The 24,290-nt window shown below is 60.4% G+C and overlaps 2 protein-coding genes across 17 annotated transcripts in view, besides 5 other annotated features; one reads left to right on the top strand and one right to left on the bottom strand.

The window, feature by feature from the left end:
* ADAMTSL2 (ADAMTS like 2) overlaps window positions 1-20,372 on the top strand; it is a 43,356-nt gene extending 22,984 nt beyond the window's left edge. For all 6 annotated transcript variants that reach the window (NM_001145320.2, NM_014694.4, XM_011519241.3 and 3 more), the window contains 9 exons: window positions 411-783; window positions 6,051-6,148; window positions 11,789-11,915; window positions 13,126-13,339; window positions 13,456-13,611; window positions 14,261-14,431; window positions 15,184-15,360; window positions 18,696-18,840; window positions 19,599-20,372. In NM_001145320.2, coding sequence (NP_001138792.1) covers window positions 411-783; window positions 6,051-6,148; window positions 11,789-11,915; window positions 13,126-13,339; window positions 13,456-13,611; window positions 14,261-14,431; window positions 15,184-15,360; window positions 18,696-18,840; window positions 19,599-19,717 — 1,580 coding nt within the window. In that variant the 3' untranslated portion in view covers window positions 19,718-20,372. The remainder of the gene's footprint in view (window positions 1-410; window positions 784-6,050; window positions 6,149-11,788; window positions 11,916-13,125; window positions 13,340-13,455; window positions 13,612-14,260; window positions 14,432-15,183; window positions 15,361-18,695; window positions 18,841-19,598) is intronic.
* Window positions 191-693: an enhancer, noted in NCBI's record as "H3K4me1 hESC enhancer chr9:136420460-136420962 (GRCh37/hg19 assembly coordinates)". NCBI's record gives its function as "activates a minimal SCP1, AML or CMV promoter by ChIP-STARR-seq in naive H9 embryonic stem cells {active_cell/tissue: H9 hESC(naive)}" and the evidence as "EXISTENCE:reporter gene assay evidence [ECO:0000049][PMID:30033119]".
* Window positions 694-1,195: an enhancer, noted in NCBI's record as "H3K4me1 hESC enhancer chr9:136420963-136421464 (GRCh37/hg19 assembly coordinates)". NCBI's record gives its function as "activates a minimal SCP1, AML or CMV promoter by ChIP-STARR-seq in naive H9 embryonic stem cells {active_cell/tissue: H9 hESC(naive)}" and the evidence as "EXISTENCE:reporter gene assay evidence [ECO:0000049][PMID:30033119]".
* Window positions 1,698-2,199: an enhancer, noted in NCBI's record as "H3K4me1 hESC enhancer chr9:136421967-136422468 (GRCh37/hg19 assembly coordinates)". NCBI's record gives its function as "activates a minimal SCP1, AML or CMV promoter by ChIP-STARR-seq in naive H9 embryonic stem cells {active_cell/tissue: H9 hESC(naive)}" and the evidence as "EXISTENCE:reporter gene assay evidence [ECO:0000049][PMID:30033119]".
* Window positions 16,169-16,809: an enhancer, noted in NCBI's record as "H3K4me1 hESC enhancer chr9:136436438-136437078 (GRCh37/hg19 assembly coordinates)". NCBI's record gives its function as "activates a minimal SCP1, AML or CMV promoter by ChIP-STARR-seq in primed H9 embryonic stem cells {active_cell/tissue: H9 hESC(primed)}" and the evidence as "EXISTENCE:reporter gene assay evidence [ECO:0000049][PMID:30033119]".
* Window positions 21,934-24,290, bottom strand: part of FAM163B (family with sequence similarity 163 member B) — a 32,309-nt gene continuing 29,952 nt past the window's right edge. For all 11 annotated transcript variants that reach the window (NM_001080515.3, XM_047423715.1, XM_047423714.1 and 8 more), the window contains one exon: window positions 21,934-24,282. In NM_001080515.3, coding sequence (NP_001073984.1) covers window positions 23,875-24,282 — 408 coding nt within the window. In that variant the 3' untranslated portion in view covers window positions 21,934-23,874. The remainder of the gene's footprint in view (window positions 24,283-24,290) is intronic.
* Window positions 22,463-23,078: an enhancer, noted in NCBI's record as "H3K4me1 hESC enhancer chr9:136442732-136443347 (GRCh37/hg19 assembly coordinates)". NCBI's record gives its function as "activates a minimal SCP1, AML or CMV promoter by ChIP-STARR-seq in naive H9 embryonic stem cells {active_cell/tissue: H9 hESC(naive)}" and the evidence as "EXISTENCE:reporter gene assay evidence [ECO:0000049][PMID:30033119]".

Consider the following 24,290-nt stretch of genomic DNA (forward strand, 5'->3'; position numbering starts at 1 on the left):
TAGGCCTCCTCCTCTGTGCCGGTGTCTCTGTCGGTCCCCTTCTGATAAGGATATTTCTCAGTCCACGATAATTTCATCTCAAGATTCTTAACTAATTATATCTACAATGACCCTATTTCCAAAGAAGATCACACTCTGAGGTTCCGGGGGGGGCCATGAATTTTGGGGGGATGCTATTCAATCCACTACAGAAGTCGATTGAATTCCCATCAGCAAGAGATGATCCAGGCAGGTCTCATGCCTCCGTTTTGCCCGAATTACGTCCTCTAGTTAGGCAGAAGCCCTCCTTCTGGGAGCTTCTTGGTTCAGCTTGGTGTTTCTGGCCCCCTCGTCCAGGTCCCCTCCCCAGGGCAGCCCTTGCCCCCAGGGCTCGGATGTGCCCACGGTTGAGCCACCTGTCTCCTCTCCAGACCGCAACGTCACGGGGACTCCTCTCACCGGGGACAAGGATGACGAAGAGGTTGACACCCACTTCGCCTCCCAGGAGTTCTTCTCGGCTAACGCCATCTCTGACCAGCTGCTGGGCGCAGGCTCTGACTTGAAGGACTTCACCCTCAATGAGACTGTGAACAGCATCTTTGCACAGGGCGCCCCAAGGAGCTCCCTGGCCGAGAGCTTCTTCGTGGATTATGAGGAGAACGAGGGGGCTGGCCCTTACCTGCTCAACGGGTCCTACCTGGAGCTGAGCAGCGACAGGGTTGCCAACAGCTCCTCCGAGGCCCCATTCCCCAACGTTAGCACCAGCCTGCTCACCTCGGCCGGGAACAGGACTCACAAGGCCAGGTAGGAGGCACTTTCCTGAGCCCTGTCCAGGGCCCTCAGGGGGCAGGATGGGGCCGAGGCCAGGTAGAAAGTGAGGCCCCACTGGGGGGGTCTGGCCAGAAGGGCTGAGGTCCTAGAGGTAGAGGAGAGAGGGCCCCTTCTTCCCGGGGTTCTCCACTCGCTGCCCCGTGGATCTGAGCACAAAGTCAGAGGCCTGGGCTGCAGTGAGTTTTCCCCAAAAGTTATGTCCATGGATTAGGATCCAGGGCTGAGCCCCTATGTGTGCAGCTGATGGGGGGAAGGGAGGCAGGAAGCTAACAGCTCTGAGCATGCCTTGTGAGCCAGGGACAGAGCTCAGCATTTTATATGCATGGAAACATGTCATCGTCACAACCGCCCTTAGTGGTGGGGTTGCTATTTGCTATTGTGGGCTCAGAGAGAGCTAGCGGTGTATTCGAGGTCACAGAGCCTGAGAACCTGGGACCCCTTAGTTTTAAGCCTGGACAGTCATGGCACACACGCCTGTAGGAGGAGGCGGAGCTCCAGGCAGCTCCCCAAGTGCAGAGTGGCTCAGTCCCAAGCCTCAGCAAGGGCTGGAGAGGATCTAGTGGATTCCTCCATGAGGGGCAAGAGCCTGAAATCAGGGATGAAGAACAAGGCTGGCATTGCAGCTGGCAAGGGCCATGAGAGAGTCCACCTGGGGCCAGGCCTCCAGAGCCAAGGCCACAGCTGGGTCTACATGGGCAGCCATGTCTGGGGGCAGCCATGTCTGGGGACACCTGGGCAGTCACAGCCAGGGTTGTCTGGACAGTCACAGCTGGGGACGCCTGGGCAGTCACAGCTAGACCTGGGGAAGTCTGAGGTTGGGAGCTTCCCTGTGTCAGGGGCCAGCTGTGAGCAGGGTGACCCCAGACCTGTCGTGTCCCTACTGGAGCACAGTCCGTGGTGACAAGCCCCGCCTGCCCCCAGATAGAGGGTGGCCACCCTTGCAGGTCCCCACAGTTTCTCCCAGCAACTCACATGTGCCTGGGGGCTACTTTAAACAGGCAGTGAGTGGGGGTTGGAGGCAGGCACGGGCTCACTGGTGTTTGGTTTTGTTTTCTGAGGTCCAACCCAAGCCCTTTGACTTTAGACGCAAGCATGAACTGAACCCGGCCTGGGCTGGGAGTGCTGAGTGGGTCTTCCTTGGGGCTCAGGGACTGAATTTGATGGGAGATTCAGGGTTCACTCTCGAGGTGATGTGGTTTGGGGCCACCCTCCCACCCATCCAGCCCTGGGACCAGAGCAACAAAGCCAACCTCCCTGGTGAGCCAGGAGCCCCAGGGGATGCCTGCCGCTTTTCTCAAACTGTTTTCTGAGGCCACCGAGGTGCCTGGGGCTGCGGGGTGCAGGGAGGATGTCCTGAGCACTTCTGGCAGGCTCTGGGCGGAATCCTACTTTGCAGATGTGGACAGAGTGGGGCCTCGGAGCCTCCTCTGGCTGCCCCTCTTCCCACAGGGGTGGCACAGGGCTGTCTGCTCACCCTTTACCTTGGCATGCTCAAAGCCTTGGGTAGGTGGGGCCTGTGGCTGGTTCTCAGGACTCGGGCGGGGAGGGCCGGGCCTTGCTTTGGGTATAGTGTCTGAGTCTGAGAGGGGGTCCTGGGTAAAGGGCAGGAGGGACGGACCCAGACAGTGCCTGCCTGTGGGAACGGCACTACTCAAGGCTGCCAGTCTGTCTGTGTCTTCAGCGTGGGCCCTCTTCACCTCCCAGGGCAGTCCGGGGCATTCCCTGGTATTCCGTGTGTGAGGCCCACGGTAAGGCCTCCAGTAAGTAGAAGCTATTAGTAGAAAACTGAGCCTCCAAGTGGCAGCAGTGGGGGGTGCCTTTCAGGACCCACTGCCTGGGTCAGGGAGGCCAGCTCTCCGGCAGTCACGGCCCTCCAAATAGAATAGGTTTATCAGAGTGGCACCGAGGCCTCGCTGTGGAATTTGGCTTAAGGCATGGACACTGTGTGAGTTGAGCATCTCTGTCTTCCTCTGGGCCTCAGTTTCCCCATCTCTCACTGGGGGGCTTGTCAGGGGCTGCCCTTTGGGCCCACCAGGTCAAATATTCAGTGATCCTTAGGCCAGGGTCATGGCACAAGCTTACGGATCCTCAAGCCGCTTTGTAAAGAGTCTCTCCTGCCCCATCTTGGTTGACTCTTACCCTCCCCTCTTAGCCCCCCGCCCCAGGATATATTGAATTTCCAGGGCCTGTCAGGGGCCTCAAGGGTCGATCAACTAGGCTGTCAGCACTCAGAAAGGCCCTGACTGCTGAGATGCCGCTGCTCCCCCGGCCGGCCTGCCATCAAAGGATGCTGCCGCACAGGGACCAAAGATGGTGTGGAGAGATAAAGGGCAGAGGGAGGCGGCGGGGGAAACCACCAGGCCAAAATAGCCACGTCTCGGCCGAGTTGTCCAAACACAGGAAGTCGTGTCTGCTCAGAGAAGGCAAAATCAAAGGGGCAGCCCAGAAAGGAAAGGCTATTTTCATCTTTCCAGAAAAGCTTCAAACAATCAAGGGAGGGGCCCCTGTCACCAGACTCCGACTTTGGGAACAAGCTTCTGAGACACAGAGACGCGGAGTCCCTCTCCGCAGCCTTGGGGGGAGAGAAGAACAGAGCACTTTCTGGCTTGTTTATAAACAAACACGGTGGCTTCAGAGCTTCTCCTGCCTGGGGAGCCCGTGAGCCTGTGTCTGGCCGGGCATCTGGGCGAAGGACCCTGAGGAGTGACAGGTGGTCTGGTGGTGACTCCACAGCCGTCACCAGCCCCAGTCTAGCAGCTCTGACTTTCACAGCTGAGAGGGGCAGTGACTTCCTTCCAGATGGAGGAGAGCGACGGTTTGGTGCTTCAGCGATTTCCTTGGTGTTCCGCTTCCCTGTGCTACTTCCAAGAACGGAACCTGCTAGGCGTTGCATTGTTGTGCAAATATATGCAGGGTTATGTTCAAGAGTTGCATCTGCTATGCCCCACACGTGCTGCTGCGAAGAGTGTGTGGGCAGCCCCTCCAGAAATACCTTTGGTGCTTAAAATCCAAAGGGTTATTTTGAACCGGGCCCGCTCTCTCTTGAGTCAGGCATGAGTCATGCTGCCTGCTGGCTCAGAGCATGTAATTAGATAAAGATGGCGGAGCGTCTCCATGGGTGGGGTGGAGGGGCATGGGTTGGATCTTTTCATCTCTTTTTGTTCTTGGGGAGAATTTAAAGCTGTTGAAAGTAGGTGGGGAACTGGTCAGCACAGTTTAGTGTTTTCTGAATCGAACATTAAGGACTGGTCTTCCGGGTTCTCCGTTCCCTGAAAGGACTTACTTATCCTGATCTGGGTGCTCTGAGTGGCCCCCATTGGGGCAGTTTTCCAGGTTTCCAGGGAACTTTTGTTCTGAGATGACAGGGTCTTGGGAAACCCCCCACCCACCCCCATTTTTTTTTTTTTTTTGAGACGGAGTCACTCTGTTGCTCAGGAGTGCAGTGGTGTGATCTCGGCTCACTGCAAGCTCTGCCTCCCAGGTTCATGCCATTCTCTTGCCTCAGCCTCCTGAGTAGCTGGGACTACAGGCGCCCGCCACCACACCCGGTGAATTTTTTTTTTTTTTTGTATTTTTAGTAGAGACGGGGTTTCACCATGTCAGCCAGGATGGTCTCGATCTCCTGACCTCGTGATCCACCCGCCTCGGCCTCCCAAAGTGCTGGGATTACAGGCAAGAGTCACTGCGCCTGGCCCCCACCCCCATTTTTAAAGCTTCCTCTAAGTTCTGAAAGAGGGAGGAGAAGGCACTCTTCCCTTCCCCTTGAGCCCCAGGATGGGACAGACTCTCCTGGCTTGAAGCTCCCAGGTGAAGGAGGCTTTGAAGAAACAGTGGGACCAGCCCCCAGCCCGCAGCCCTTCCTGGGCCTTGGTCCCCATGCCTTCTCCCTTCACTCCTCTTCTCCCTCCCTGAGTTTAGGGAGCCACACCAGTGAACTCACTGCTGAAGCTCCTGTGGGTAGATCATTCCTGGGGCCTCAGATGTGTGGTCAAGGCAGCGTTCATCCCCACAAATACTGCCTGGCTGTGGGATCCTCCCATTCCAGTCCAAGCAAAACAGAAGAGCAATGCTCACCCGCTTGCCTAACACATTGTAAACTCCCCATTCAATCCAAACCCATGTCTGTATCACGGAGTCAATCTGAAAGCCTTTCTGAATATAATGCTCTAAGCCTGACCACCCCCAGGTGACTGAAGGTCCTGAAGAAGGACCTGTGACCTGGCCCACGTTTCAGCCCAGTGAAGTATGGCGGCTTGGGGTCATCTCTAGCCAGCCCCTCTGGGCCCAGAGGAAAGTGGAGTTGGGCAATGCCACCTGCTGCACTGTCCAGTTTAAAAAGGAAGTCGAGGCTCGAAGGACCTGCTGTCCACCGCGCCGGCTTGCCATCGCCCCTTCTCTGGCTCAGGGGCGGCGGGACTCCATGGTGGCGTCCCAGAGCAGATGCCCGGGCTGTGGAGCTGCTGCCGCCTCTGCTTCCCTCCTCCCCTGCCGAGTCCAGAATGAGCCTGCACATTGGATGTGGAGGTTGGGCCCAGGCACACCTACTGGTTCAAAGAAGCAAACAGTCCTAACAATAGTTGGCTTTGGCTGCATAGGCTCCAGCCAAGAATCATAGCTGGTGGCTGGCTGGGACCCAGCGTGCCTCCCCCGACCCCAGCAGGTCCGTGCAGCCATGGCCTGCCTGAATTGCACTGTAGGCTCGGCCCCTGCCAGCAGCCGAGCTTTTTAATTTTGATAATTGGAGGCTGGATGCCTAGTGTCCCCCATTCCATCAGAGTCCCAGCTGGAGGAGGGGGTGGGAGAGAATTCTGGAACATTCTTAGCACATAAGACACCTTCTGAGGTCCCCTCCCCGGTGGGAAGAAGGAACCCACTAGCTGATGTGAGAAGGTAATATTGAGAAGCCTGCGTGTGTGCAGGGAGCAACTACAGTGCTGGGGGCCCCAAATTCTCAGGCCACCCCTCCCCTCCGGAAGGAGCTCGGGCAGCTCCCATGCAGTTGAGATGGAAAACAATGCCAATCAATCCTAAAATGTGCCCCTCTGCGGGCGCCTCATCCGTTCCACTTCAGACAGTGGGAACTCTGACCGTAGCAGGTGGAGGGTCGGCCCGGGGCTCAGGACAGGTGTGTGCTTCAGGCGAACATACCCTCCGAAGAAAACTCCCTCGCCTGAAAAGCCGGAGCCTGCCGGTGGGGCCTGGAGCGTCTCATCACCTTCCCTGCTTGGTCTCGCTTTCAGGACCAGGCCCAAGGCGCGCAAGCAAGGCGTGAGTCCCGCGGACATGTACCGGTGGAAGCTCTCGTCCCACGAGCCCTGCAGTGCCACCTGCACCACAGGTACTGGTCACGGGTGCCAAGGGGCAGCAACTGCCCTGAACCCATTTCCATGGACATGGGCTGGGGCTGTGGGGCCCACCCACTAGCTTGCAGCCCCCAAACTGCCCTCGGGGTGCTTGTCCGTGGCCTCCTGACTTGGGGGCAGTGTGGCGTGATAGGAGTTTGGGTGTCTGGTGAGGCCACCCTCATTCTCACAGTGTGCTAGACCATGGTCAGGTCCAGGCCCCTGGGGGTCATCCGGGCTACCACCCATTGGTGGTAGCCCTTGTCTGTTGCCAGTGATACCATGTTTTGTTAGGGCAAACATCCTTTGGGTTAAAAGTAAGAAATCTTAGGTAGCAGAGATTTTACTTTTGCTTCCAGCAAACATAGGAAGGGAGTCATAGGCCCCTGTGATCTGTGACGAAGGGAAGTAGGCAAATTCTAGGACCTCATCAGCAGGGGAGAAGTTAGGAGGGGAAAAAAGACCCTCCTCGGTGGTGCCTGGACAGACAGATGTGTGTGGTTAGTAAGAGTTGAGCTGGGATTTGAACCCACAGCTGTCTGGTTGCACGGCCACCATCGCCCTGAGACGCTGGCCACAGCCGCTAGAGCTGGAGCTGCCTCTGCTGCCCACTCTAGTACCCTCCCCTGGGGGATGCCGCGAGGTCTGATGTCAAACCCAGGATCAGGATACAGGGCCGTTGATGGGAGAAAATATGGCAGGGAGACCCCAGTGCCGGCTGTGAGGTCACATTTTATCTATTCTTGGGGCTTCATGTTTGGATGTAGAGGATACCCAGCTGGCCCTCAAAAGGTTTGATGCTCCTGGTCCCGCCCCAGTGCCACCCATTTGCCAGGGCATTTGATGCCCTTGCAGTCTCTGGCCAGTGAGGATTCCACACAGCTGGGCAGTCTGAGCTTGGCCGCACCCTCTGCAGCCCTGCTGGCATCTCAGGAGATGGGCCCGAGAGAGGGAGGGGCTGGGGCGGCCCTGCAGGCTCTGCTCACACTGGCCTTGCCTCTCTGGGACTGAAGAAAGGGCTCTGCCTCCTGTTACAAGAGCCCCCAAACAGGGCATAGCCATGGGGCATGCTGTGTTCGCCCCTGCGCCTGGCATCCTGGAGGGAAAAAGCAAGTGCTGTGGGCGGCGTGGCGGGCACCCGGCTCGGCCAGGCTCGCACCGCCGTGGGCGGCGTGGCGGGCACCCGGCTCGGCCAGGCTCGCACCGCCGTGGGCGGCGTGGCGGGCACCCGGCTGGGCCCGGCTCGCACCGCCGTGGGCGGCGTGGCGGGCACCCTGCTGGGCCCGGCTCGCACCGCCGTGGGCGGCGTGGCGGGCACCCGGCTGGGCCCGGTTCGCACCGCCGTGGGCGGCGTGGCGGGCACCGGCTTGGCCAGGCTCGCACCGCCGTGGGCGGCGTGGTGGGCACCCGACTTGGCCAGGCTCGCACCGCCGTGGGCGGCGTGGTGGGCACCGGCTTGGCCAGGCTCGCACCGCTGTGGGCGGCGTGGTGGGCACCGGCTTGGCCAGGCTCGCACCGCTGTGGGCGGCGTGGTGGGCACCCGGCTTGGCCAGGCTCGCACCGCTGTGGGAGGCGTGGTGGGCACCCGGCTTGGCCAGGCTTGCACCGCTGTGGGCGGCGTGGTGGGCACCGGCTTGGCCAGGCTCGCACCGCTGTGGGCGGCGTGGTGGGCACCTGGCTTGGCCAGGCTCGCACCGCTGTGGGCGGCGTGGTGGGCACCGGCTTGGCCAGGCTTGCACCGCCTGGTTGACCACACCATGGGCCCTGGGCAAATTGCCAAAGCCTTCCGAGCCACTGTTTTCCACAGGTGAACTGGGACGCCTGCTTATCTCAAAGGTGGGTTGTGGGGATCCACATGAAACAAGGAATAGCCTCTCATGGTCAGAGGTCAATGGATGCTGCCGTTCTGAGGGTGGCTGCCACCACCTGATGCAGGGTGCGGCTTCCACCATACCCAGGAGCAGCTGGCCTTGGAAGTGAGCCATGTGACCTGCCTTCCGGGCAGACCCCTAGCGGAGCTGAGCATGGTGGTGGGGTGTCAGCAGGGTGTCTGCTTTGCCAAGTCCTTTGCGGACCTGCCCTGAGTTCCTCCACTCTTCCTGGCCAGGGGACTCCAAGCGTGTGGGCGTTGTCAGTAAGTGTCAAGCCTGTGGGCGTTGTCACTAAGTGTCTGCAAACATCTGTGATTCCTCCCAGACACATCGCTGGCTGGAGAGGGGACGTCGCTCGAGACGTCTGCAGGGTGAGGCAGCCTCGCTGGCAAGGGGCCTGATGGGCAGCCCTGCGTGGAAGATGTCCCCAGGGAGGACACAGCACTGTCTCCCAACACCCAGAGAATGGCAGGGAGGGGGCTGGACTGGGTCTGTGCAGCGTGGCCCAAGGTGCAGTGGGGCAAAGGACAACAGGAAATCAGAAAGACAGGTTTTGGCTTTGGAAGAAGGAAACTCTGCTTTACAGGAGGTTGTTCAGAAATGGAAATGAGCCACCCTGAGAGACAGAGAGAGAGAGAGAGAAAGGGGGAGAGAGAGAGAGAGAGAGAGAGAGGGAGAGAGAGAGAGAGAGAGGGAGAGAGAGAGAGAGAGAGAGGGAGAGAGAGAGAGAAGGGGAGAGAGAGAGAGGGAGAGAGAGAGAGAGAGAGGGAGAGAGAGAGAGAGAGAGGGAGAGAGAGAGGGAGAGAGAGAGAGAGAGGGAGAGAGAGAGAGAAGGGAGAGAGAGAGAGAGAGAGAAAGGGGGAGAGAGACAGAGAGAGAGAAAGGGGGAGAGAGACAGAGAGAAAGGGAGAGAGAGAGAGAGGGAGAGAGAGAGAGAGAGAAAAAGGGGGAGAGAGAGAGAGAGAGAGAGAAAGGGGGAGAGAGACAGAGAGAAAGGGAGAGAGAGAGAGAGGGAGAGAGAGAGAGAGGGAGAGAGAGAGAGGGAGAGGGAGAGAGAGGGAGAGAGAGAGAGAAAGAGGGAGAGAGAGAGGGAGAGAGAGAGAAAGAGGGAGAGAGAGAGGGAGAGAGAGGGAGAGAGAGAGAAAGAGAGAGGGAGAGAGAGAAAGAGAGAGAAAGAGAGAGGGAGAGAGAGAGGGAGAGAGAGGGAGAGAGAGGGAGAGAGAGAGGGAGAGAGAGAGGGAGAGAGAGAGGGAGAGAGAGAGGGAGAGAGAGAGGGAGAGAGAGGGAGAGAGGGAGAGAGAGAGAGGGAGAGAGAGAGGGAGACAGAGAGGGAGAGAGAGAGGGAGAGGGAGAGAGAGAGAGACAGAGAGGGAGAGAGGGAGAGGGAGAGAGAGAGGGAGAGGGAGAGAGAAGGAGAGAGAGAGGGGGAGAGAGAGGGAGAGAGAGAGAGAGAGGGAGAGAGAGAGAGAGGGAGAGAGGGAGAGAGGGAGAGAGAGAGGGAGAGGGAGAGAGAGAGGGAGAGGGAGAGAGAGAGAAGGAGAGAGAGAGAGGGTGAGAGAGAGAGAGAGAAAGGGAGGGCAGGAGGGAGGGAGAGTTCCCTGTCACTGTGGGAGGTGCTGAATGGCACTGGGCAGAAATAACAGAGTCAGGGTCCACCCTTTGCATAGGTTGTGTCCGTGCGGATGTCCCATGGATGGTCATTGGCCCACCCTCCATCCTGTGCCTCGCAAGAACCCAGGCACAGGGCAGTTCTATCAGTGGGGCAGATCAGCCTGCCCTGAGCTTTGGCCGCGGTGGGGAAGCTTGTTTTTAGATTTTTCTTCGAAGACACTCTTTTGGAGCCATAGCAACAGAGGAGCGTGAGTTTGGCCTCGGCTCAGGTCATAGGTGGAAGTTTCTGCTGCCCTTCGGCGCTCCAGGGCACCGTGGTGAGGACAGTGGATCCTGCGGCCCCCAGGCTTCATCCTCCCCTTTCTTTTGTTTCAAGGAGGGGCTCCGTGGCTCAGGGGGTTTGAAAAGCACCGTTTTCGAGATGGGTGTCATGAAGAGGGTGCCCAGAAAAAACGTCCTGGCATTTGATTCTCACAGGCTCTCTGGAAGGTTCCCATTTCGGGAAGGAGCATGCTGAGGCCTGGAGTCTGGTCACGGTCACGTCACCCCAGGGAGGCACTGAGCTGGGACTTGGATTCCAGTCTCTCTTGACCAAGGCCTGCCGCGTTTCCACTCCGTGACGAGGAGCGAATGAATAACCAGGCACTTGGCGATGGTCTGCAAGTCCCCAGCCCCGCACCTCCCTGGGCCCCAGAGCGGGTGTCTCTGAGGCTTGGAACATTCCAAGCAGACCTGGCCGGGAAGCCAGCCTCCCCCTCAGAGAAGGCTAAAGGCTGCACGGCCCAGCTCTGGCGGGAGAGGAACCGTGATTGCAGCCTGGCTCGTCCTTTACGGAAAAAAGAAAAAATCCCCTTGTCGGCTGCTTCCCAGGCTGTTTCGTTCCATCCAGCGCTGGGGCTTGGAGAGGCAGGAGCCGCTGGCCTGCAGACACACGCCGCCGGGCGGCTGGGTTCTCTGGATATGGGGAAACCGATTTCCTTCTGGGGGAACTGGCAGCTGCAGCCAAGACCGTTCCATGATGCCCGTCATCCCGGAAGGCTGGGTCTGTCTCCCGTGGCCACACACACACACACACACACACACACACACACACAGCCACAGCAGAAGCAGCAAACCCTAACCCCACCCCAAGGCCGTTCCCACTGCTGCCGGCTCTCCCAGAATCATCCTGCTCCTGGGCAGGGAGCTGGGCCTGTGTGGCAGTTCGGTACCAGGCAAGGGTGCAGGGGCGAGGACGAAAGAAGCAGAAGGTGGAGATGTGGTCAAGGAAGTGGCACTGCTAGGTGAGGGCTGCCTGTCACCCACTGTCCCCCAGTGGGATTACAGAGTACGGGGCACCAACAAAGACAGGCACACAGTGATGATTAAAGAAAGTTCAGGCCTGGCGCGGTGGCTCACGCATGTAATCCCAGCACTTTGGGAGGCCAAGGCGGGCGGATCACCTGAGGTCAGAAGTTCAAGACCAGCCTGGCCAACATGGTGAAACCCAATTTCCATAAAAATACAAAAATTAGCCGGGTGTGGTGGCACATGCCTGTAATCCCAGCTACTCGGGAGGCTGAGGCAGGAGAATTGCTTGAACCCAGGAGGGGGAGGTTGCAGTGAGCTGAGATTGCACCATTGCACTACAGCCTGGGCCACGGAGTGAGGCTCCATCTCAAAAAAAGAAAGTTCAAGAGGATGCTTGCTAAGGACTGGGGCATGCCACAGAGGGCAGGGCGCGCCCGAACCCCCACCATGACCTCTGAGGAGGCTGACGGGGCTGGAGCCGTCAGATGTCACTCCCGCCTGCCTGTCCACCCAGGGATGGGTGGTTGCTGAACGCCTGGCGATGGGGGACACCTGACTGTGTTTGCCTCTGCACCTCCACGGGGGCCAGCTGGAGCAGACTCAAAGCCCGGACTCCGTGACATGGGAACTGGGAGCCCAGCTGGGTTGGGTGGGGCGGGGTGGGGGTGCAAAGAGAAGAGCTCAGACCCGCACAGCTCAGACCCACAGTGCTGCCCTCATGCCACAGTTGCACAAGCTGTGACTGATCCCCAAGCCAGAAAGCTGAGCTGAGAGGTCAGGTGACTTGCCCCAAGTCCTGAGGCCTGTCTGCTGGGCTCCAAGGTGCCGGCATGGCTCACAGACCCACCCCTGTCCCCAACCCAGGGGTCATGTCTGCGTACGCCATGTGTGTCCGCTATGATGGCGTCGAGGTGGATGACAGCTACTGTGACGCCCTGACCCGTCCCGAGCCTGTCCACGAGTTCTGCGCTGGGAGGGAGTGCCAGCCCAGGTACCTGCCACCAGGGGCCCTGGGCAGGGGGTCGGCAGGGGGCGTGAGGGGCTCTGCCCAAAGGAGCAGTCAGACTTACCCCCTGCCCCGTAGAGGTTCTTCGTGTGCAGGGCCGTGGGGGCTCTTCGAGGAGGGGCATACAGACCTCACCCCTCAGAGACCTTCTGGGTCTTCCCAGGAGTTGCAATTTAATCTGTCACTGTGCCTCGTAGACAGTAGGTGCTCAATTAATGCTTGCCACCGCAGATTTAGAAACCATTCTCAACATTATATTACAGCGGTATCTTTGCCCCACCAGGCCCACTTGGCACATCTAGGATTTTTATAAACTCAAGGGATTATTCCCAAGATTCCATGCCTATTGGCTGTCCCTTGGATGTGGGTGGAGGCCTATTTTCTTGACCTTTGGGCCTCGTCTCCTGCCTTGTGGATGCAGTCAGTCTGAGCTGAGTGCATCCTACACCTAGTGACAAGTGGGGTCCCCAGATGAGCCTGAGGGTGCCGGCCTCCCCCGACAAGGATCACACACTCCTCGGAGGCTGAGCCCTCCTGCTCCCCGCACACGGCCACACTGCCTCTTCTTTTCTGGACTCCTCCATCTGGGGCCTCCCACTTCCTGCACGTTTGCTCCTTTCTGGGAAGGGCAGAATGCCCAAGGTCCCCAGAATGCTGCTAAGGCTGGCCCGGGGGTGGGGTCCAGCAGGCCCTGTCCTTCCCCTCAGAGCCCATCAGCTTTGGACCTCTTATTCCAAGTCTATCTGCCTGGAAGACTTCCGGGTCTCACTCATAACCCCTCCCAGCTCAAGCTAAGGGGAAGGAGAGGTCTTTCCCCAGCACGCTGGCCATGCCCCCTTTCTGGACACAGATCCAGAAATGTGCCTTCTGCTCACTTCCACCCTTGCCAGAATCCTGTGGGCGCACAGCCACCTGTGTGACACAGCAGGGCACGAAGGGGCAGGAAGGCCGAGCCCACGCTCAGGGCACCCGCCAACCACCTTGCTAAGGTGCTCCCTGAAGACCTCCGGGGCCGTCATGGCCCAGCCTGCACCCTTGAGCCTCGACACCCTCCTGTCTGGCTTAGCTTGTTGTGTGCGGTTTTGGACCACATAGGGGAGGAAGGGAGGAGCCGCGTTGTCTCTGGGGGTGTGGGTTGCATGGGGTCCCGGCTGCCATGGGGGGGATCATTGAAGGCCATCCGCTCCCGGGGCAGGTGGGAGACGAGCAGCTGGAGCGAGTGTTCGCGCACCTGCGGAGAGGGCTACCAGTTCCGCGTCGTGCGCTGCTGGAAGATGCTCTCGCCCGGCTTCGACAGCTCCGTGTACAGCGACCTGTGCGAGGCAGCCGAGGCCGTGCGGCCCGAGGAACGCAAGACCTGCCGGAACCCCGCCTGCGGGCCCCAGTGGGAGATGTCGGAGTGGTCCGAGGTGAGTGCCTGCGGGAGCAAGCCGGGGGTCGGGAAGAGCTGGGGAGCTGGGCTTGGGAGATGGAGGTGGCTACACCTGTGTCACACCCCCCCTGCCCCCTCCCCCTGCCGCCCCAGTGCACTGCCAAGTGTGGGGAGCGCAGTGTGGTGACCAGGGACATCCGCTGCTCGGAGGATGAGAAGCTGTGTGACCCCAACACCAGGCCTGTAGGGGAGAAGAACTGCACGGGCCCGCCCTGTGACCGGCAGTGGACCGTCTCCGACTGGGGACCGGTGAGGCCTGCACTGAGGGGTGGCTGGGCGTGCGGCTGGTGAGGGGACCCAGAGCTTTGCCTTGATGTGCCTCAGTTTCCATTTTTTTCCGAGGCAAGGGTGTGAGGTCAAGAATGTCCAACCAGCCTTCTCCCATGTTATTATAGGAATCAAAACTTCTCTCCAAACACGTGGCCAGCATCACCTTCCCTCTATCACCTGTTTATCTCTCTGTATCTCTCTCTGCCTTTGTCTCCCTGTGTGTGTCTGTGTCTCTGTTCCTCTGTTGGTCTGTCTCTGTCTCCCCGTCTCTGTTTGTCTCCGAGTCTCTCTGTCTGTCTCCCCATCTCTGTCTCTCTGTGTCTGTCTTTGTCTCTTTCCCTGTCTCTGTCTCTCTCATCGAGAGAGATGCTCAGATGCTAGCTGGGGTCGCCTCTGGGTGGTGGGTGCACAGATGATCTTTTTAAGTGTGCTTTTCTCTGTGTGCTTTTCATCAAGCATGCATTATTTCTGTAATTAGAATAGAAAATGTTATTTAAAAAGTGGTTACCATGGCAACCGCTTCGACACTGCCTGGGAGCCACTCCTCTCCCTTGGGACTGACATCCAGGGCCCCTCCTGGTGTGGCTGCCTCTCACTGGATGTCCCCTGCCTGTCCTCTCCCCTGCAGTGCAGTGGAAGCTGCGGGCAAGGCCGCACCATCAGGCACGTGTACTGCAAGACCAGCGACGGACGGGTAGTACCTGAGTCCCAGTGCCAGATGGAGACCAAGCCTCTGGCCATCCACCCCTGTGGGGACAAAAACTGTCCCGCCCACTGGCTGGCCCAGGACTGGGAGCGGGTGAGTGCCCCAGAGCCCGCGGAAGGGCCTCCTGGTATCTGGAGAGCATTTGGCCAGAGAGGAGAGCCAGATGGCTGGGACCACAGATGGGTGAAAAAGAGGAATTCATTGCAAATTATGAAGGGACAATTCCCTAAAAATTAATTTAGAATACAAAAGGCTTAAAAGGTAGGAAAACACCTTACAAGTCCCCAAATCTCAATTTTGCATGGCTCAGTGGTACGTGCAGAATTGGCATTGCCCCCAGCCTGGGCCCCCAAGTCCCTGGGACGCAGAAAGCTAGGGACAGGGGTTGTTTTGGCTGCCTGCTCCTGGCCCAGGGGCCTTTGCGACCTCTGATCGTGACCAGTGTGTCTTCCGCACCCACCTGTCATCGTCACCAACTTGCCATTTCAGACGAGTTGCTCTCCACAAATTGCTTTCAACCAGCAGCTCCCGGCAGGTCACTAAACCGGATAATCTCGAGCCAAATTGTTTTCTGCTAAATTGATTTTGGCCAAATCATCACTGGCCAGATTGTCATTAGCCAATTTGTTTCAAAACAGATGGTTATGTGCTAAATTGCTTTTGATCAAATCCATCTGGGGCCAAATGGTTATCGAACAAAGAGTTTCCAGCCAGTTTGTTATGCACTGGAGCATTCTCACCCAATTGCTATTGACCAGCCCGTTGTCACCAGAGTCGCCGTGGGCCCTGTGTGTAGGGTCCTGCTGGGCCCTGGCGCTGACCCGCTCCCTCTGCCCCGGCCTCAGTGCAACACCACCTGCGGGCGCGGGGTCAAGAAGCGGCTGGTGCTCTGCATGGAGCTGGCCAACGGGAAGCCGCAGACGCGCAGTGGCCCCGAGTGCGGGCTCGCCAAGAAGCCTCCCGAGGAGAGCACGTGTTTCGAGAGGCCCTGCTTCAAGTGGTACACCAGCCCCTGGTCAGAGGTGAGCTCCCAGCCGGCCCCTCTGAGGTTGCCTGAGGCCAGACCTGAATGTCGATCCCGCCCCTCCCGCCTCAAGCCTCCTTAAGTGCTTCCTGCTCCTCCCTCCCTGACAGCCTCTGTGAGGGCTTTCCTTCCCGGGAAAGCTTCTCAACTCCACCACGTCAGCTGGTGCGAGAGCCAGCACCTCCAGGAAGCCTTCTCTGATCTTGTCCCTGGGATCCCTACGGCACTCGTCCTGGGCCTTTTTGGGCCCGGGAACTCCGGCCTCGAATTGTGGCCTCTAAGTTGCATGTTTGGCAGCCCATGTGCCGGACACCGCGGGACAGACAGACCCCAGGTGGGCGGGGGGAGCAGATTGGGCTGAGGCAGACACAGGCTTGGCCCTCTGGGAGCCACAGCCAAGGCAGCCGCTTGGAATTTAGGGAGACAGTAATAGACATGCACCCCCATGTCAGGACACCGGCGGGGCCAGAGGGAAGGGCAGTACGTCTCCTGCACGGGTCTGGCCCCTCCGAGATTCTTTGACTCTTGGGCCCCCAGAATGCCCCAGCGTCAGGATGTGAGGCAGGACTATGCTGAGATCGCGGTTCTCTTTGTAGAGGGGAGGAGAGCCCTCCCACCCTGAGGCCCTGAGGCACGTGTGGCAACCCTCACCCAGTTCTTTGCCTGAAGGGTCTCCTCTCTCCCAATAGTGCCATGAGGAGAGGTTCTTTTCCCCATTCCTCAGAGGTTCAGGGAGCTCTCTGGCCCACTCGGGGTCCCACAGTTACTGGGGGCTGTAGCAGACATTGGAGGCCAGGCCTGTCCATGGCACTAGAGTGAAACCCAGGTGGGGTGTGGCATCTGCAAGGGAAGGGGGGCCTGAACCAGCTCATCCCAAGGGGCCCTGGGCAGGGAGCCCCGAGGTGGGTGGGCAGCCCTGGTTTCACAGAGGGGGTGGCAAACTGGGTGCCCCCTCGCCCCCAGTTGTCTTGCAGAGCAAACAGGTTGCTTTCACCTCTCCTGCTGTTTTCCCCTTCTGCTGCACTTCCTGTGGGGCCTCCGGGTGACTCCAGAGCCTCGCCATGTGCCAGTGGGTGCCCCTCTGCCTTCTGGGCCCCACGGAGGCAGCCCTGTCTAGACTCCAGCTTGAGTAACTCACATCAGCTGTGACACATCAGCCATCCGTGCCCCTTTCACAGCAGCGCCAGCCCTGGCCCCAGACCCAGCCGCCTCACACCTGGCAATGCCATGAGCTTCTGAGAGGGGGACCTGGGGGTGTCCAGAGGGTATCTGGGAATCACTGGGCAGGTGCTTCCATAGCCAGGCTGTTTACCTGGGGTCTCCAGCTACCTCTGCCCTCAGTTTCCTGATGGGCCAACTCTGAATACCCAGGCGACAAAATGGGGGTGTCAGACGGAACTCAGAGCCTGGAACGTTCATGGTGAAGTGCCCAGGTGTGTATCAGGCCCTGGCGCCCGAGGGCTCCAAGTCTTGGTTGCTGTGGCGGGTGGATGCAAGATCCTAAACCTTATGAGTTCAAGGCAGAGAGTCCAAGAGTCTGTGAGGAGCGAGCTGGGGACCCCAGTGCGGCCCTGCTCAGAGATTGGGGTCCAGGCCCCGGGCCCTTGCCAGGTCCCAGGCTCCTCGTGCACGCTTGGTGGTGTCTGGCCTCCACCCTGCCCCGCCACCCCCCACCCCCCACCCCGCCCCAGGGCCTCTGCCTGCCCTGTAGCACACATGCTTGTTCAGGAGGGAGAACACACACTCACTCATTCCCTGTTGCCCACCAAAGGACCCCCGAGTGAGGAGGGGAAAGGCTGAGGGTGGGCCTGGGGCTTCCCAGGGGAGGCCTGGGCAGAGCCAGGGCCTGAAGGGTGAGCCGGCTTTTGCCGGGAGTCAGCTGGAGAGACCACGGCGTGCCGGGCCCTGAAGCCTCCTTCTGGAAAGGCTAAGCCCGGTGGGAGGGAGAGTGGGAAGGGGCAGGGAGGCTGACTGGGGTTCCAGGGCCCCAGGGAGCCAGCCCAGGTCTGTAGTTTGGGAAGAGCACTAGCTTCAGATGGGGGGGCCACTGTGGGGCCAGGAAACACGGACCCACTAGGTGCAGGTACCTTGCTGGGTGATGAGCCATGGCACGGGGGGAGCCATGAAGCGATGAAGCGGGGACCCCAGAAGGACAGCCTGGGGTGCTGGGGAGGAGCATCCCCCTAGCCCTGATGAGGAGGTGGCAGGGCCAGACGAGGTGCAGCTGGCACAGACGGCTGGTGGGCGCGTGGACTCCTTCTTCCTGGTGGCTGCCCCCCGATGCCGGTGCATAGCGGCGGCTCAGTCAGTGTTTGTTGCCCCAGCTGCCCAGTCCCATCCACTCCCCAGGGGCAGAGGAGCTGGCACCAGGGCTGGCCGGGAATGTGCTGCTCTCCAGAGGCACGTCCAGAGGCTCCTCAGGGCCCTGCCAAAGGCTGATTGTCCTCACGCCGTCAGCGCCAAGCCAGCCTCTCCTCGCCTGCAGACGGTGCCAGCCCCCACCCCCTGGCTCGGAGCAGGCAGGCAGGCAGCAGTCTTTCTGCCAAGTCTTAATCGGTCTTCCTTGCTCCTTTGCAAACAGAAGTGGAGAGTGGGTCCCAGGGCCAGGGCCTCCCACCCCACCCATCTCAGAGGACAGAGGGCTCAGGTCCCAGACGTGCCTGGATGATGTGGGGTCACCCACATTGGGGGGAGTGTGAGGGAGCCACCGCCTGTGGGATCTTGGCAGGAGGACAGCAGGGTGACTGGGGCCAGCAGATGTCTCTGGTGTTCTGGGGAGCTCAGCGGGGTTTTCCAAGGGGAACATCTGGACGGGGAGCCACTGGAGGGGGTGGTGACTTCGCGAGATGCATTTGATCGGCCCACAACAAACAGTCTGCACCACAGACCCAGGAAAGCTGGGGCCAGAGGACCCTCAGGGAGATGGGAGAGGAGGGACCACCCCTCACTGTGCATCTGGGGAGACTGAGGCAGCCCTGCGTGGGGAGAGAATCAGATCCTCCTGACGGCCAGCTAGTGCCTGGACCCCCTGGGAAATGAGAGAGGAGGGACCACCCCTCACTGTGGATCTGGGGAGACTGAGGCAGCCCTGGGTGGGAGACAATCAGAGCCTCCCGAATGCCAGCCAGTGCCCTTTTGTCGGCATCTCAACTCAGCCTTGGAGCCGCAGGTCTAGTTTCAAATGGGCTTCCACGGGTCCTGTGTCAGTTGGGACTCATGGCCGCCTGGGAAGGGTGGGGTGGGGAAGGGGGAGTGTGCAGGTTCCCCGCCCCCTGCCCAGGCCCCTGCCCCATCAGGAGGCTTTCCCCATGCCTTCTGTCTCTCCCACACCAGTGCACCAAGACCTGCGGGGTGGGCGTGAGGATGCGAGACGTCAAGTGCTACCAGGGGACCGACATCGTCCGTGGTTGCGATCCGTTGGTGAAGCCCGTTGGCAGACAGGCCTGTGATCTGCAGCCCTGCCCCACGGAGCCCCCAGGTGAGGCGCGGGGAGGCCGAGGGTGGCTCTGGGAATTCCCAGGGGAGGCGAGGACAGAGTCAGGGCCTGAGGGGTGAGCAGACATTGCTCACCTTGATGGCGAGCCTGGGAACCAGCTTGAGAGACCAAGCTGTGCAGGGAGTGGGGGCTCCCTCCCGGCATGGCCGAGCCCCACTGGGAGGGGAGAGAGGGAAGGGGAATGGGGGAGGCCTGACTGGGGCTCCATGGCCCCAGGGAGCCATGCTGAGACCTGTACTTTGGGAAAAGGGTCAGCTTCAGATGGCAGGGCCACTGTGGGGCCAAGACCTGAATCCAGGATGACTCAGCTGGAGCGGCCAGGGGCTGGCACACAGGGGGCAGGGAGGGGAGCAGCTGAAGCAGGGCCTGGGCACCTGGAGGAGGGACAGGGTGCCAGGTGCAGGGCACGTGATGAGTTATGCTTTGGATACATTGAGTGGTGGACGGGGGGCCCCTGTGGAACCCTTGGGGATGCTTAGGCCTCTGGGTGTGACATCTGTAGCTCCTTTAGGCATCACTCCTCTTGGGACACAGATCAAATCACCTGGCATGATCTGGGACAGCGACATCTTGGGGACAGAGATGGGCCAGGAAGGAGGGGGCAGAGAGCTAGAGATGGAGACCCACCACGGGGTGGGAGGCCCACTGCCCCTGGAAAACGGCACGTGGGGGTCCCTGGGGTTTTCGCCCCTTGGCCACCTCCTGAAACTGCCCTGCTTCGCTCTGTGTTCCTTCTCCAGATGACAGCTGCCAGGACCAGCCAGGCACCAACTGTGCCCTGGCCATCAAAGTGAACCTCTGCGGGCACTGGTACTACAGCAAGGCGTGCTGCCGCTCCTGCAGGCCCCCCCACTCCTAGGCCCGGCAGCTGCAGCCCCTTCCAGATGAAGACCAAGCGCCCCTCCTGGGGCTGCTGCAGCTTCTGGGGCCTCCACAGACCCCCCTCCTGCGGGGCACGCTGGCCTAAGAGACGTGGCACTGAGCCTCGGCTGTCGAGAGGGGACTTCCCACGGCCCGTGGACCTTTGTGCTCCTGGGGCAGAGCCTCCGGCACCCAGTGGCCTCCCCCAGACAGAGCCACCCCTGCCGTGGGAACCTGTCCGTGTTCCTGCGTGGATCCTGTGTTTGTGGCTCCCACTCCCCAGCCCCCCAGCAGCCCCCAGCCGAGGGGCCCAGGGCCCACAGCCAGCGGTGGAGGTGTCTTGCTCCGGGCCCGTAGCCCACGCCCTCTCTGGGTGGCAGGGCCTTCTGAAGGAAACTTGCAGGCGAGCCCAACGTGGTGGGGGGCCTTCCTCCCTCAGAGGCCATGGGGTGAGAGGGGCTCAGGCAGCCAAGGAGGCCCAGGCGTGCTCCCTCTTATGGAGCCCCTCCCATGGAGCTCTCTTCCCGCCGCACTTTCTACCCCGGGCAGAGGCGCTTGCCCACGGGACGTTTGGGGATGGACCTCGGCCCCCGCCCCTGCAGTCAGCGTCAGTGCTCATCTACGTTAATAAAGTGGTCCTATTTATGGCGGCATCATGGGGTCTCAGTTGCCTCTGGCTGGAGAAGTGGGTGGCCTGGGGATTGGAGGGCCCAGGCCTGGCTGTGTGGGGTCCCTCCAGCTCACTGAGGCCTCAGGGGCAGGGGTGGGCCGTGGGGGACCACAGCACCTGCTCTGAGGAGAAAGACAGACGCAGATAAAAGGCAACGAGAGGCGTGGGGAGTGTGCAGGGAGGGCGTCTGGGGACACTGGGACTCAGGCGCTGGAGTAGGAGTGGACATCTCGAGCCCATCAGCAACTGGTACAGGACCTGTGGGGGCAGGGGGCAGGGACCTTGGCTAAGGTGTAGGGCACCCACCTCCAAGTGCGTGGGCAAGAACAGAGGAGATGAGGCAGGTGTTGGGGGCGCGGGGCTGGGCCCACCTTGAGCCTCAGGAAACAGCACCGTCACTGCCGCTCCTGGAGCTCATGGAGGGCTTCCTGACCCGGACTTGTGGGTGCAGGAACGCAGGGGCTTCTGGGGAGGGGCTGCTTGGTTGACCCAGCAGCAGGAGTGGCTTTTCCCAGACAAGAGGGCAGCAAAGAGCACTCAGGAGAGGAAAAGTGACACAGCTGGAGGACGCTGCATGGGAGGAAGGACGGGGCTGTACCGCCCGGAGAGGCCCCAGGAGGTGTCTCTGAGCACGCAGGCAGTCGGGAGGTGAGTGGCTGCCGGGCTGCTTCCTCGATGTGAGGCCAGCTTGTTCTCAGACTGGGAGCCACAGCAGCGTCCATCACAGCTTTAGGGGGGCTTCTGAAGGACTTGGGGCTCTGGGGAAACTAAGGCAGCACCCCCCCCCCCAGTGTGTTCTTGCCTCTGAGTGTGCCTGCACGCGTGTGCACTGAGGCGCTGCAATCAGGATGGTCCTTTCAATCCCTAAAGTCCAGGAATTAAGAGGCCCCTGGGATGGACTTGCTCAAGGTCACCAGCTTGGGCCGGACAGAACCGAGTCCTGAGACCCCGGGGTCTGAGGCCTCTCTGCCCACCTCACCCTTTGCCCGCCCTCACCTCGCTGTTCTTCTCTCCTCCTGTGTCCCCCAACCCACATCTTCCTGTCTTACTGTTTCCTCCCGGCTTCTCCTTTCTGCCAACATTTATTATACACTTACTGTATGCCAGGTTCTGTGCCCAGCACCTCCTCGGTGCTGCCTGGATTTATCTTCCAAAGGTCCCCACGATATAGGCATCGCGATTACCCCATTGTGTGGAGGCTAAAACTGAGGCCCAGAGATGCTCTGTCACTTGTCCCAGGGGACCCAGCCTGTCCCCCCCACAACCCTCTGTCCAGGGGTTCAGAGTCCACTCTGGTAGTTCTCAATGCTGGAAGATGGATAGCCACCGGGAAACTCAAAATCAAACGTGGCCCACTGCTGTGCCCCCAAGCCAGAGAGGAGCTCTCGGCCCCGCCGGGCAGAGCCCTGGCCTGACTGGCTGCATCCGGAAGGAGAAGCTGACTCTGCCTCCTGCGGGGTGGGAGGAAGCCCCTCCCAGAAGGTTGAAGAGCGTGGGTGTGGACGGCCTGGACACCCGGGAGGACGGAAGACGCTGCACGAGAGTGTGGGAGATGTTTTATTGGCTTTCACTTTCCTCAGGGAGCCAGCGGCTCCCCCAGCAGGTCCCCACGGTGGAGCCGAGTGAGCTGGGAGGGATGGGTGCTTACTTCGTTTCAAAGAGATCTACATATCTACAGAGAGGATGGAGACCAGAAAGGAATTGGGAAATGGAATCATGAGGGCTGGGCCCTCATCCCCACCCCACCCAGCCCACCCCCCACGCCAACGCATCAGAAACAGACTTCACAGGATGCACAGAGGAAGCCAGAGGTGTGGGCGGGCCCGGGGGGCCGGGGCTGCGAGGGACCTCAAGGGCGAATGCCACTGGCCTGTCCAAACGAGGCAGGAGAGAAAGTAAGAGGAGGAAAACAATTGAGAACATAACGATTGTGACTTCGTCAGCCGTTCCCCCGACGCCTCTGGAAACTGGCCATTTCGTTTTTGAGTAAGGGCAAGAAGTGTCCTGCTCAAGCCACCCCTCCGCTCAGGGAAGGTCACTGCCCGGCCAAGCCTTGTCTTTGAGGGCGGTGCCTTCCCTGGGCAGAGAGGGGCTGCCCCGGCCCTGGGGCTCCATGGCAGGGCACAAAAGGAGAGGCAGAGCCCCAGAGAGGGAAGGGGGCTCCTGGGGCCAGGCTGCTGAGAGGAAATAATTGCCTCTTTCTGGGTGAGGAAGAGCTGCCTTCCTGATGGCTGGTGTCCTGGGATGTGGGGCATTTCTCTGGGGTAGCCATTGACGTCATTTCCTTAGCAGCAGGAGAGCGGGTGAGAATTCCCAGGAGACCTCAGCCTGGGTGGGCGCTTGGTGGAAAGTGGGCTCAGATGAGGTCTTCAGATGGCAGCAGTAGGCTCTGGCTGCTTGGGGTCCACCAGGAGCTGGGCCAGGCCTCCTAGGTCCTGCTGAGAAGCAGGTAGGGGAGGTGACCTGCAACTCTGTCTCCCTTGGGGATCTCAGTTCCTGTTGAGACCCACAGCCTGAAGACCTCTGTCCTCAGGGTCTCTCCTCATCACACAAGATGGGGAGACTGAGGCCCAGGGGTGGGAAGGGCCAGCCAAGTCTCACGGGGAACTCGGGGGTTTTCAACCCCTGGGCCATGGCTCTGCCCCTGACGAGCCCCGGGCTGCCTCCGTTCACTGCCGCTTGCTGGCCCTGTTTCTGGCTGAGCACTGGGTCTATACATTTCCACGTTGCCTCTCCCACGGCAGGGGGACTGCGACATGGCCTCTCCCTCTCCCCGTGCCTCCCTCTGCCACCAAAAAGCTGGTCAGGGCGGAGCATCCCAAGGGCCCTGATGCCCCTGAAAGTCTCCCTTCTAGGGGGCAGCTGGTCCATCTTCAGGGAGCTCAGCACGTGTCTCAGCCTAGGCAGACACTTGGCCCTTGAACCCGGAAGAGTGTGTGTGTGAGAGAGAGGGAGAGACGGGTAGGGGAGAGAGAGGGAAAAATGGAGAGAAAGAGGCTGGAGTTCAAGGTGGAGGAGCAGAATCCTTGGTCTGCAATTGCCAGGGAGGGCCTTGCTGCAGGGCCCTGGGCCTCACTGAGGTCATCCCTTCCTTGAGCAGGTGAGAAGGGTGAGACCCAGGGAGGGGGTGACACATGGAGACCTCCTGGGAAGGCCAGGTTGTTGGGTCTGAGACAGAATCATCAGGAGTAACGGTGGCCTCTGTGCCTGAGAGCCCTGGTGCATGCCCAGCCGGCTGTATGGTCACCTGGTCCTTCTAGCCCCAGGCCCCAGCTGTGCCTCCCCCCAGGACACATTTGTGTTCAATGAGCCTTATCCCTGCCACGAGCCTGGGGGCTCCCCAAGCCTGGGCCTCCCCTGAGGACAGGGATTCCAGGAGGGCTCAGCCAAGCCCCACTTGGGGCCTGGGGCCAGGTGGGTGTGCCAAAGGAATCCCCCCATTGTCTCAGGACCTTCAAGGCCAGGATCCCGGGGGCGGGCCCAGGTCACACGTCGGTGCTGATGCTGCGGCTCCTGGCGAAGGCCTCCCGCATGGCTGAGAGGCGGTTGGGGTTGAGCGCCTGCAGGCCCCCGAAGCCCCCCGGGGGCAGCTCCACGTCCTCCTGGCTCACGCTCTTGTAGAGCACGCGCTCCCCGCCGTTCAGCACGTCCTCTTCCTCCTCCGGCGGCTCCTGCAGGAAGAAGGTGGGGGGCTCGCAGTGGGAGCAGCTGCGGCAGAGGGCGCGGGCCTGCGGGGACTTCTGGCTGAAGGAGGTGGAGGCGGTGGGGTAGAGCGCCGGCCCGTTGGTCAGCACCAGGTTGCGGTTGGAGTGCAGCGGGGGCAGGTGCGAGTGAACGGCGAAGTCTGGTTCCTCCTCGTCCTCCTCCGACTCGTCCTTCTTGCAGCAGTAGTACTGCGGGC

Source organism: Homo sapiens, chromosome 9 (assembly GCF_000001405.40).
Source record: "Homo sapiens chromosome 9, GRCh38.p14 Primary Assembly".
NCBI classification, from domain to species: Eukaryota; Metazoa; Chordata; class Mammalia; order Primates; family Hominidae; genus Homo; species Homo sapiens.